The sequence below is a fragment of the Homo sapiens genome, chromosome 7 (genome assembly GCF_000001405.40).
Source record: "Homo sapiens chromosome 7, GRCh38.p14 Primary Assembly".
In the NCBI taxonomy this organism is placed as follows: Eukaryota; Metazoa; Chordata; class Mammalia; order Primates; family Hominidae; genus Homo; species Homo sapiens.
Genome location: NC_000007.14, coordinates 132,757,853 through 132,771,104, shown reverse-complemented (window position 1 = coordinate 132,771,104; position 13,252 = coordinate 132,757,853). Strand labels below are relative to the sequence as shown.

General features: G+C 45.8%; 1 long non-coding RNA gene across 1 annotated transcript, besides 1 other annotated feature; it reads right to left on the bottom strand.

The window, feature by feature from the left end:
- LOC100506937 (uncharacterized) lies at positions 10,473 to 12,135 on the bottom strand. Its single transcript, NR_134332.1, has 2 exons — positions 11,700 to 12,135; positions 10,473 to 10,787 (listed from the first exon to the last, which is right to left on the bottom strand). It is a non-coding gene; the product is annotated as an uncharacterized LOC100506937 (long non-coding RNA).
- Positions 11,533 to 12,086: an enhancer, noted in NCBI's record as "H3K4me1 hESC enhancer chr7:132443779-132444332 (GRCh37/hg19 assembly coordinates)". NCBI's record gives its function as "activates a minimal SCP1, AML or CMV promoter by ChIP-STARR-seq in primed H9 embryonic stem cells {active_cell/tissue: H9 hESC(primed)}" and the evidence as "EXISTENCE:reporter gene assay evidence [ECO:0000049][PMID:30033119]".

Genomic DNA, 13,252 nt, shown 5'->3' with positions numbered 1-13,252 from the left:
GCTGGGATTACAAGTGCCCGCCACCACGCCTAGCTATGAACATTTTTTTAAGAGACAGTCTTGCTTTGTCACCCAGGCTGGAGTGCAGTGGTGCGATCATAGCTCACTGCAGCTTCAAACTCCTGGCCTCAAGCAATTCTCCTGCCTCGGCCTCCCAAAGCACTGGGATTACAGGTGTGAGGCACCATGCAGGGCCCCTTGCTGGACAATTTCAACCATAATTTCAAGTTGCCCAAAACACCTATTTATTTATAATTCTCCCGCCTATCCCTCAACTCTCCCCAACTGACTCCTCTTCCTCTTGACTTTATGACACCCTACTCACTCATCACATGTTTGTGTCATCTGGGCTTAAAGTCTAAGGTTCATGGACTCCCCCCCCCCCATCCACCTGATCTTACCAGCCCTTGGATACCATCAATTTGGCCCAGACAGCCTTTTAGAGCCAGGAGAACTTGGGTCAATTCTTGGTTTTATAGACATCTTAAAGCCACATTAGTAATGTCCTTAAAGTGAGGATTACTAGGCACTTTGAAGGTTATAGGCAGTCTGTAATATCCTTCAGGAAGATCGCTATAAATCTGTAGAGAGTGGTATAAAAGGGTCAAGTCTCTTCCAGTTCTTTTTCCATAATCTCTTGCCCTAGACAGTAGTAAATAATGTTCGCTGTGGCTTATCCAAGCGTTAATGCCTTCCTTAGTGACAGACCTTGAGTTTGTCCAAGTAGCAGATGGACAAGTGTTTCAGGGGAAAGGAGATCCCCTTCCCAGACCCAGGGATGAATCCTGGTTAACTTAAGCCAATCATAGTAATTCAACTTCCCTTGCCAGTGATTGGCTCAGGAGTGGGCATGTGACATGATTCTAGCCAATGACTTGTGAAGAAAGTCTGCTGAGTGCTTCTGGGAAAGTTAAAAGGGGGCACTAGTGATGCCAGGTTGTGTTTCCCCTGATGGCCTTTGATGTGTGAGTGTACAAGACCTGGAGCTTTGGTGACCACCTTGTGAACATGGAGTGACAGGTCTGAGTACAGAAACTGAGGCATGGGGGATGGGAAGAATCTATGGGTTTTTTTTTTTTGTATTGTTGAGCTGCTGAATTAATCAGTTAAAACTGTTCTACTATTAGACTTCTTATTACAAGAGGCAATACATTTTTTCTTTTTCTTATGTTGGATTGGGTTTGCTGTTATTGTTAGCTGAAACCTCCTAACTGATACATCTGCATTCAACAAAGAGGTGCTCTCCCTCTCTCACTCCTATTCTCTTTCCATCATTAGGGATCCAACTTCAGGCTAGCAGGGACATGGTTTTTTAGTGATGTCTTCATAATCTCTTACCGGAATCCCTGTCTCATCAAATGCCTGGTCAAGGTTAAGCTTCTAATTTCTAGTCATGGAATAGAACAGTGTTAAATGAAGAAGTCCTCAGCCAGGCATATCAGAATCACATGGGAAATGGGAAAGGATCTGAATAGACGTTTCTCCAAAGAAAATATACAAATGGCCATAAGGACATGAAAAGATGCCCAACATCACTAATCATTAGGGAAATATGAATTAAAACTTCAATGAAACACCAATTCACAACCACTAAGATGGCTATGATTTTTAAAAAAAGAACAATAACAAGTGCTGGTGAAGACACGGGAAAGTTAGAACTCTCATACATTGCTGGTAGGAATGTGAAATGATGCCACAGCCTGGCAGTTCCTTAAAAGGTTGAACATGGAGTTACCATATGACCCAGCAATTCTATACCTAGGAATATACCCAGGAGAAATGAAAACATAGGTTTATACAAAAACTTGTACACAAATGTTGACAGTAGCATTATTCATGATAGCTGACAAGTGGAAACCATCCAAATCTCCATCAACTAATGAATGAATAAAATGTGGTATATCCATACAATCAAATATTATTGAACAAAAAGGAATGGAGGTCTGATGCATGCTACAACATGGGTGAGCCTCAAAAACATTACGCTAAGTGAAAAGAAGCCACTCACAGAAAGACCACATATTGCATAGTTCCATTTATATGAAATGATCAGAACAGGCAAATCCACAGAAACAGAAAGTGAATGAGTGGTTGCTAGGGGTTAAGAGGAATGAGGAGTGACTGCTAAAGGTTTTCTTTTTTTGTGTAAAGAAAATGTTCTAAAATTAGATTGTGGTGATTAATTGCACAACTCTGAACATACTAAAAACCATCAATTTGTGCATTTTTTTTTAAAATTGAGACAGGTCTTGCTTTGTTGCCCAGGCTGGAGTACAGTGGCGTGATCATGGCTCACTACAGCCTCAACCTGCTGGGCTTAATCTATCCACCTGCCTCAGCCTCCTGAGTAGCTGGGACTACAGGTGGGTGCCACCACACCCAGCTAATTTTAATATTTTTTTGTAGAGATGGAGGCTTACCATCTTGCCCAGGTTGGGATTTCTGCACTTTAAATGGGTGAATTTTATGATATGTGAATGATATTTCAATAAAGATGTTTTTAAAAAGAAATGTGATTAAACCATTTTTGTTTTCTGAATTTACAAGAATTGGGAACTCTATTAACTTATTAAAAATTAACAGTATAGGCCAAAACAATTGCTATATAGGATAATAATAAATGTTACTTCTATGCATTTAACAAAAACCTCACATATCACCTGGGGAGTTTCCCTGGCATCACCTGAGACCTACAGATCTGACCTGGAGGGAGGCCTGGGAGTGAACGGCTCAAGTTCACCAAGTTCAAAGAAACCAGAGGGAAGTTCTTCACGTCAGAATAGTGGCTCTCGACCAGTTGAGGTATTTATTTGCAGGAAGAATGCTGAGTGTTACCTAAAACTGTAACACAATGGTCCAAGAATCCATGGTTACAGCAGAGTCTGAGAGTCAGACCTTTTACTTACTTATTTATGTACTTATACATAATAATTATTGATACATACTAACTGTACACATAATTGATACATAATTGTACATATTTATGGGGTACCTGTGATGTTTGAACAGGACTTATTTTGAGGCTGGGCGCGGTGGCTCACACCTGTAATCCCAGCACTTTGGAGACCGAGGGGAGAGGGTCACCTGAAGTCATGAGTTGGAGAATAGCCTGGCCAACATGGTGAAACTCCATCTCTACTAAAATAAAAAAATTACCTGGACGTGGTGGTGAGCATCTGTAATCCAAGCTACTCGGGAGGCTGAGGCAGGAGGATCGCTTGAACCCGGGAGGCGGAGGTTGCAGTGAGCTGAGGTCACGCCATTGCACTCCAGCCTGGGCAACAAGAGCAAAACTCATCTCAAAAAAAAAAAAACTTATTTTGAATTCTTGCTATGTTAACCTGAAAGCTGTGTAAACTGTGGAAAGTTACTCAAACCTCTTCAAGTCTGTTTCATAATCTGTAAATGGGGATAAGAAGGTTACCCCAAGGGGCTGATGTAATAAGACTTAAAAATTTGAAGTACTTTGTACCACGTCTGGCACCTAGTAAGCTTTTATCGGAGTGGCATGAAGGAGTCAACATTCTAAAGTTTGTCCTGATATCAATTTAAGTCTTAGGAAAACATTGAATTTGAAGTATGTTAGCCCAAGGGCACACACAGATGCCTTTATTGAACTACTAGTCATATGATGACGTCCTTAGAATATAAGCCCCGTGAGAGCAAGGCTCTGCATCGGGCTCTGTGCAGTGTCATCAGTGTCTGGAGGTTAGTTGGTTCTTAAATGTTTGTTGTGTGCATGAGAGGCATAGGGTTTTTTCAGCAGTTGCAAATGAATGTTCCGAGTCCTCTGCAGTATGAGTGACTCCATCTGCCATATGCCTCTGACTGTGGACCCCTGGTGTATTAGTCTGTTTGGGATGCCGTAACAAAGTACCATGCACCGAGTGGCTGAAACAACAGACATTTATTTCTCACAGTTCTGGAGGCTGGAACTGCAGCCGATTTGGCTCCTGGTGAGGGTGCCTTTCTGGGCTTGCAGATGCCTGGTTTTCCCCAGTGTCCTCACATACAGAGAAACAGCTCCTTCTCTTCCTCTTCTTATGATGCCAATAAGCCATCATGAGGCTACAATGACCTTATGTAACCCTCATTACCTCTCAAAGGCCCCATCTCTAAATACCATCCCATTGTGGGGTCAGGGCTTCAACATGTGCATTTGGAGGGGACACAGCTCCGTCCATAGCACCTGGCACCCCTCCTCCTGCTGCAGCTCACCAGTCAGTATCTGTGCTGCTTCCAACCTCCCCACCCCACCTGTCAAGACCAGTCTTTCTGCTCCTGCCCACTCCTCCTGCTCCCCTGAGAGTGTCCAGCCTGTTCAGCCTTTCTCTGTATTATGAGACCTGTTGATGCTGGCCATCTGTGCCATGCCCTACTCACTGACCCAGGATTGTTCTAGACCAACCTGGAGTAGGCACTCTAAGTAGAGCCTCACATCAGTCCTTATTCATCTTTGTTCTCAGTTCTTTAAATGCCATCCAGGAAAATGCCAGCAGATGTAGAAATAGCTTTGAAAAAGAAGACTTTTGCTGCCATGATGGTAGGACCAAGATCTTTGCTAGAACAGTAGGCATGCCAGGCTTTCCTGGCTGGCAAAACGCTCCAAATTGCATGGCCTTTCCCACGGCACAGCCCCGTCTCATTTGCTGGAAATTATCGCCACAATCTGAAGTCCACCCTTGTGCCTCCTAGGCCTGAAGAAACTGGCCTCAACTCTTTCCTCTGCCAGTGGCATTCATGCACATGCATGGATTTCCAACCCACCCCGTGTGGCTGGCTCTTGCCTGGGCTTCTAACCTCTCCCTCCACAGATTGTTTGCATTCTCTCTTAGAGCTGGTGTTTCTGGCACCTCCCAAATTAGTATCATCTGTGAATTTCATCGCTCCCTGTTTACCCCGCTTCTCCCTGCTCATTAGCAGCGCTGGAAGAGGAAGATGCTCTCCACTGCGGCAGGAGAGAGACAGATCCAAGCTGCTGTGAGCCCTGAGAGAGCTGCACCCAGTGCCAAGAGCTATAGGCCTCTGCTGAGATGGAGGCGGCACCTGCTCTAGAAGAAGAGAATCTCAGCGCTCTTTAGAAGCCGGTTGGGAAGCCGCAGCATCAGCTGAAGGTAAGGAGAGGATCTCCCTGGATCTCCAGGTGTCCTGGCCCTTCCTCTTGCGAGGAGCAGCTCTCCAGGCCTGAGCTGGGGGATCAGAGGCACCGTCACACCCCCCTGCTCCTGTCGGGGAGGTGAGAGGCCATGTGTCCCGGCTCCTTGCTCATCCCAGAGGCACCCACTCAGCTAAGAACCTTTCTACCCTTTATGTCTTCATCAGGCCTTAGGTTTTTGTCATTATATAGCTTGCCACTATGTCTCTTTTTTTGGTTTTGTTTTGTTTTGGAGATGGAGTCGTGCTCTGTCCCCCTGGGCTGGAGTTCTCGGCTCACTGCAGCCTCTGCCTCCCAGGTTCAAGCAATTCTACTGCCTCAGCCTCCCGAATAGCTGGGACTACAGGGGCGCACGCCACCACACCTGGCTAATTTTTGTATTTTTAGTAGAAACGGCATTTCACCATGTTTGCCAGGCTGGTCTTAAACTCCTGACCTCAGGTGATCCGCCTGCCTCAGCCTCCCAAAGTGCTGGGATGACAGGCACGAGCTACCATGCCCGGCAGCCACCTGTATCTTAATGCAGTTCTCTCTCGTTTTTTTTTGAGACAGGGTCTTGCTCTCCCACCCAGGCGGGATCACAGGGGCCCCTTAATGCATTTCTCTCTGACTTTATTTCAGTGATGTTAACACAAGGCTTGACAGAAGGTAAAAAAAAAAATCCTCAAGTGTTTGAGTGAAAAGCATCCACTAATAGTTCCACGAATCAACTTACAGTCAATATGAGACCCACAGTATTTCAAAACTGAGGGGTTTCAGACAAAAGCACAATTTGCATTTAAGTTGGACTGTCCAGTTTTAAAATGAGGTTATATCAATTTCATGAATTTTTTTTCAAAAACAAAACAGCTTTCTTAAAATATAATTCTCATACCATGCAGTCTAGCTCTCTCAAGTGTGCATTTCAATGTCTTGTAGGATATTCACAGGGTTGTTCAACCTTCACCACAATCTAATTTTAGAACATTTTCATCATCCCAAAAGAAACCCTACGGCCATTAGTCACCTCCATTTCACCTGTAGTCCTCATTCGCTGGCAACCACGGATCTCCTTTCTGTCTCTAGAGATTCGCCTGTTCTGGACATTTCATAGAAATGGAATCATGGGATATGTGGTTTTTCTGTGATTGGCTTCTTTCACTTAGCACAATGTTTTCAAGGTCGATCCAGGTTGTAGCATGTATCAGTCTTCATTCCTTTTTATTTCAAATAATACTGCATTGTGTGAAGATATCACATGTTGCTGTTGGACATTTAGATAGTTTCCACTTTTTGGCTATTATGAATAATACTGCTATGAACATTTGTGTACATGTTTTTGTGTGAACCTTAGTTTTCATTTCTCTTGGGTACATACTTAGGAGTAGAATTCCTGGGTCACATGGTACCTGTGCTTAAAAATTTGAGAAACTGCCAAACTGTTTTTCTTATTTATTTTTATTAAAAAAGAGACAGGGTCTCACTGTGTTGCCCAGGCTGGTCTTGAACTCCTATGCTCAAGCCATCCTCCTGCCTCGGCCTCCCAAAGTGTTGGGATTACAGGTGTGCACCACTGCACCCAGTCCCAAACTGTTTTTTTGAAGCGGCTGTAGCATTTCACATTGCCACTGGCAGTGTGGAAGGTTCTAATTTCTCCACATTCTCCTCAGTATTTACTGACCTTCTTTCTGAACTTAGCCATCCTAGTTGGTGTGAAGTGGTATTACATTGCAATTTTGGTTTACATTTCCTTGATGACTAATGCTGTTGAGCATCTTTTTATATGCTTACTAGCCATTTGTATATCTTCTTGGGAGAAATATCTATTCGGATCCCTTGCCCATTTGAAAAATTGGATTGTTAGCCAGGCATGGTGGCTCATGCCTGTAATCCCAGCACTTTGGGAGGCTGAGGTAGGTGGATCACTTGAGGTCAGGAGTTTGAGACCAGCCTGGCCAACATGGTGAAACTCTATCTCCACTAAAAATATAAAAATTAGCCAGGCATGGTGGTATGTGCCTGTAATCCCAGCTACTCGGGAGGCTGAGGCAGGAGAATCGCTTGGACCTGGGAGGCAGATGCTGCAGTGAGCTGAGATCGTGCCACTGCAATCCAGCCTGGGCGACCGAGCGAGACTCAGTCTCAGGGAAAAAAAAAAAAAAAAAAAAATTGGATTGTTTATCTTTTTATTGTTGTCATAAGCATTCTTTCTATATTCTGGAAACAAATCCCTTATCAGAGCTAATGATTTGCAAACATTTTCTCCCATTTTGTGCATTGTCTTTTTGCTTTCTTGATGGTATCATTTGCAGTACAAAAGTTTTAAGTTTTATGAATTCCAATGTATCTTTCCGTTTTGCTCCTGGTTTTGGTATCACATCTAACAAATCAAGGTCATGAAGATTTATGCCTATACTTTCTTCTAAGAATTTTATAGTTTTAGCTTTTACATTTAGCCTGTAATTTATTTTACGTTGATTTTTGTATATAAAGGGAGGGAGGAGTCTAACTTTATTCTTTTGCATGTGTAGTCTTCTTGAAATCACAAAAATAACTCAGACCCCCTTTCTATTAATCCAATGGGCTGTCAGGTTGCATCTCGTGCCCTGGCCCATGCACACCTCCCAGAGCACCTGAGGGCAATTGAGGTGGTACCTGAGATGTCATTTTGCGAGAGATGTGTGTGAAACTAAGAACTAAGCCATAGAGGGACAAGCTTTGGATCTGAACTGGCAACATCCCTTTTGCAGCTGCCCACTCCTCTCCCGGGTAGTAAACTGGGGGCACCATTACACTGGGGGGCACTCTGGCCTTTTAACAATATATTAAAGGTTAAGTTGAGCCTCTGTGTTCTTGTCCTTGGCAGAACACTGACTGGAAAACAGCCTACGTCCCGGGCGCTGTTCTGGGCGTCTCACCTGCATGCCCGCAGCATTCAGGGTACTACTCTTGGCGCTGCTCCACAGTCCCCTGGCTGCACATTCTCAACAGCCCCAACTCTGCTGGCCTCCCGCTTCCAGGGAGGAGGGTGGAGGCAGCAAGGAGAGGATGGAGAGTGTGGGGGAGTGGTGTTAGGGGAGAGAAACCAGTAGAGGAAGAAGATGGCAGGTGTGGAAGAGAGTGTGGAGTAGACAAAGATTTTCAAGGAGCAAAGCAAAGGTAGAAGAGACAGGTACAGGCAGACACTGGACCTGTAATGCTCCTTTTCCTCCTTTGAGCATCAGGAAAGATGACCAGACCACGGCACCTGTGCGCAGACATGCTCTTCTCCACCAGGACTGCCCAAGGGGTGCTCAAGTGTGTGTCGGGGGCAAGTGGGGGCTCTCTGGGTGTGTGTCTTCCTTTCTGGCCCCTGCTTCCTCCTGGCGCCCCTGTGTCTCCCTCTTGCCCAGGTGGCCCTCATGCTGTGAGCATCCACCATGCTCCAGTTCTTCAGGGAGGCCCACCGATCCTCACTGATTATCTGAGCAAGTCCTCTCAATCAGCTGCAGGTTATCGAAGCCAAGTGATGTATTTGCATTTTGGTTTATCAGGCTTCAAGGCTTTCACTTGGAAGGAACCAATGTAAGGGTCTGCAAGGGCCTCATTGGGTTGGGGAGGGAGCAACATAAGGTGGGAGAAGGAATATTTTCTCCTTGTTGCTCCAACTCACATAGGCCTTTCAGTCCCAGCACCTTGCTGTGAACCCAGACCGGCTAAGCCAGGCTGCCAGCCCCCGGGCAGTGGGTCTTTCTGATGTGATCCCCCCAGACTCCAGTTGCTGCCTTCATCACGAATCTGCCTCAACCTTCCTAAAGTTGGATGAGGACCCGGAACACTAGGGCTTCAGCCCTGCTGAGTCACAAGCCACCTGTGTGCCCTTGGGAGTTAACTTGCCACCACCAGGCCTCATCTGCCTGGATAACATGAGAGATTCAAACTGGACCCTTCCCCATCCCCAGCCCCAAGTCTTCTGATTCCCATGACATCATTTTCCAGGCAAAGCTGATTGCCCTTGGTTCCGCACTGGGTGTCCACAGCCGGTTGCTATTCCTGTGCTGACAGCTGCACCTTTCTCTTCCTCCATTTGCAGGGCCTCTGGGGCCTGCTCCCCTGTAGCCCTTTAGATCTGTCAGGAGAGCCAGATGCTGGGTTCACATCCAGTTCAGCCTCTTACTAGCTCTGTGAAGTTGGGTAAGCTACTTAGCCCACCCTGCCTCAGTTTCCCCATCTATAAAATGGGGATGATTGAAGGTCCCTCCTAGGGTTGTTGTGTGGATTAAATGAGTTGCTCTTGAAGCTCATTGAACGGTGCACATGGTAAGGGTGTACACATGCGTTCCCATTACCACTACCACCATGTTCTCTCTGTTTCCAGCCAATCCCTGTGTACTCTGGAGGTGTGGCAGAGAGTGTCCAATCACATTGCAGTCTTCTCCCTATATCCCCATTGTGGACCTAAGTTTCTAAAGATGGGTCCTGCTTTTTCTCATGTCTCCTCTCCGATCTCCCTGGTGTCTGTCCTCCCTGGGTCAGTATGTATGTCCATACAGGGACATACGGAGGTCAGATCTGGGGCCTCAGTCTTGGCATGTCTCTGACCCAGAAATCTGCTTATCTAAAACCAGCACTTCTACGCCTAAACAACCACTCTTTAGCCCACGGTTTTAAAAACCTTGCATTGGGGCCAGGCACTTTGGCTCACGCCTGTAATCCCAGCACTTTGGGAGGCAGAGGTGAGTGGATTGCCTGAGCTCAGGAGCTCAAGACCAGCCTGACCAACATGGTGAAACCCTGTCTCTTCTAAAAATAAAAAAATTCCCCAGGTATAATGGCACGTGCCTGTAATCCCGGCTACTTAGGAGGCTGAGGCAGGATAATTGCCTGAACGAGGGAGGTGGAGGTTACAGTGAGGCGAGATCACACCATTGCATTCCAGCCTGGGTGACAGAGCAAGACTCCGTCTCAAAAACAAACAAACAAAAAAACCCTTGCATTGCAGGTTACAGCTACACACCGTAGACCACACAGTGAGGTTTTCCCACAGTCTGCCTCCCTCCTCCATTCGCTCCATCCTCCTCTGCCTACTCTTTTATTAAATCTAAACTGTGGGATGGCAGATTATTTTAAATTATTTGTTTTGTATTAGTTTATAAATGATATCTTTGTAAATTTGGGGAATACAGAATATGAGATTAAGTAGAAATAAGAATTGGTGTTTTATCTGCTAATCCTACAAATGGAAATACATTTACATACGAACAATGACATGATTTAATACTTTAAAGAGATTTAGTTAACAGAGTGTCTTAAGTGACAAGTTTTAAGAGAGGAGTTAAATGTGGTTATTTGACAATGATTGTAGTTTTAATCAATTTCACTTCAATGATCTTTTATTGATTGTAGTTTTAATCAATCTCACTTCAATGATCTTTTATTTCTGGCGTAGTGAACAAGTGCTCACCATACTCTCAGTCATTTCTGCATCTTGCATCACCTTCTCTCTGGACCAAAATGTTGCTAGGAAAATCAGTTCTGTTGTCAAATGCTGAATTAGACAAACTTATGACAGCATCTTCATTGCAAAACTTCTCAGAGCCTTTAACTGCTAATATAATTGCCTAAGAAGGAAAGACTGTACGTGGCATTACCCAAACATGACTGTGCAACAATCCTATATGAAAACAAAAAGAAAGAAGTATGTTTTAGCATCTTTCTAGGAGTTAGGGTTCCTTGGAATTCCATTTGGGAAACCCATTTTTACATTGAGCCACCAAATGGTTCATTTCACAACCCAAAGCCAATAGCAGAGGCGTGGTACCATGTGTGGCGTGGGGCTGCGTGGAGAGCAGCTTGTGGCTGTTACTGATCTCTAGGAAGCAGATCTAGGATGAAATAGAACGCTGGGTGTGGCCTGGAATGCAGGTGTCCCCATTAACTCGGTGAGTTTGGTTACTCACAGCTGAGGCCGTTTCCCTGCCTATAAACCAGGGATAAGATCTGCCTCCCAGGGTTGTGAAGAATAAATATTACTTATGAAAGTGCTTAAATATAAATGCTCTCGACAAGTGATTTAAAGGAGTTGATTAGTATAGGAACAGACCCCAAAATTGTAACCTTGCTAATATTGTGTTTTATCAACTTGGCTTATGCTTAGTGCCCCAGAATTCCCACACCTCTCCAGCTGGGTACATCACAGCCTGGCCGCAGGACCTCCTGGTGAGGAGCAGAGAAGCGCCAGCTCTGCAGTGCCCAGCCCCTCCCCAGCCCTCTCTGGGACCCACTCCCATTCGCACTGGGAGGCGGACTGCACCAGGACACTCCCTGCCGGGCCACAAGAGCTGCTGCTTGCCTGCACGGCCCAAGTAGTAAAGAGGAAGCCAGGGCCGCTTGCTCCCCTCCCCACTCAACAGAGCCGAGTGTTGCCAGAGCCTAGGCCCCCAGGAAAACAGCACAATTCCCAGATCCAGAAACTGGAGGCACTGCTTGCCACAGGGGCCTCCTCTCCAGGCCCTAGGGCCAAACACAAACTGCTAACTTCGGGGTCTCCAAGTCTTCATCCAGGAAAGTATCTGAAAATGCCCACCTCATGACGGGTTTGCAGACAAGTCAGAAAAAAAGATGTCAACCTCACTGCCTTGATGGGCTTGTATCTGAGTCTGGGAGACAAGACACACATCTAAATAACAGCAGAGACTTTCTTATGAGGAAGTTGCTGCTGTGAGGCAGGCGTGGCACCCACAGGCAGTGGCACAGCTGCCTCTGCTGACCACGGCCAAAGAGCCTCCCTGGTCATTGTGTGATGGTGTCTTAGCTCAGGCAGCCACAACAAAATACCATAGACTGGGTGGCTTCAACCATGGAAACGTATTTCCTCACAGTCTGGAGGCTGGAGCAGGAGGTCAGGGTGCCAGCATAGCTGGGCTCTGGTGAGGGCCTCTTCTGGGCTATGTCCTCACATAGCCTTTCCTCGGTACATTTCAGTGGAAAGCGATCTCTCTCTTCCTCTTCTTATAAGGGCGCCAATCCTATTAAATTAGAACTCCGCCTTTATGACCTCACTTAACCTTAGTCACCTCCATAAAGGCTCTCCAAGTACAGTCATACTGGGACTAGGGCTTCAATATATAAATTTTGGAGGTCTGCAATTCAATACATTGCACATGGTAACAAGGCCAAGGTCATGCATCGTGTTCCCCGGGGCTCGTCTGGCTCACCCTGGTTGAAGGCATGAGGAACATTCTACCAAAGTCTGCTCACAGGGGAGGGAGGCATGGATTTGGTGTAGACAATTAGAAGGGCAAAATGTTAAACTCGTTTGTGGAGTCTAGTTCACTCCTTACTTCCAAGGACGAGAAAGTCACAACTCACAGAAATAAAGATGCCACAGTCCAAGTCTCTTGATGAGATTAACACTTTTAAAATGTGATTTCTGCAATAACCATGCCCATGTAAGCCACCTGAAACTAGTTCTGGGGCTGCCCATGTCCTGCATCCCAGGCAGATGTTCCCAGATGTTGATCTGGCTTCATGTGAAGCTTTGTAAATAGACCTTTAGCAGCTCCTAGGATTAACTCTCGAGGCAGGGAATCCAGAGCCCAACCTACTGTCTTCATTCTACTGACCCCTTAGAAACTTCTGGAGCCTCCGAGGAAACCCTAGGGCTCCAGGGACACAAGTGGGAATTGACTTATCAGAATCCAACATTCTTAGAGACAGTACACAGGAAAGTGACGTGCCCAAAGTCACGCAGGGACAACAGAAAGTTATTGGCAAAACCTGGAACAGATCCAAGGTCTCCACTCAAAGCCTGAGAGTTCCTTCCAGTCCAGAAGATCCCAAACTCAACCAAGTGTCAGAACCCCTTGGGTGTTTAAAATATATTTTTTTCAGGCACCATCCCCAAAGGATTCAATTCAGTGGGTCTGGAGTGGAGCCCTGGTATGTATGGGATTTGCAGTGGTTTGGATGTGGTTTGTTTGTCCCCACCAAAACTCAAGTTGAAATTTGATCCCCGGTGTGGTGATGTTGGGAGGTGGGGCCTGGCAGGAGGTGTTTGGGTCATGGGGAGGGATCTCGCATGAATGATGTGGTGCTGTTCAGGCAGTAGTGAGCTGTTCTTACAGGAGTGGATTTGTT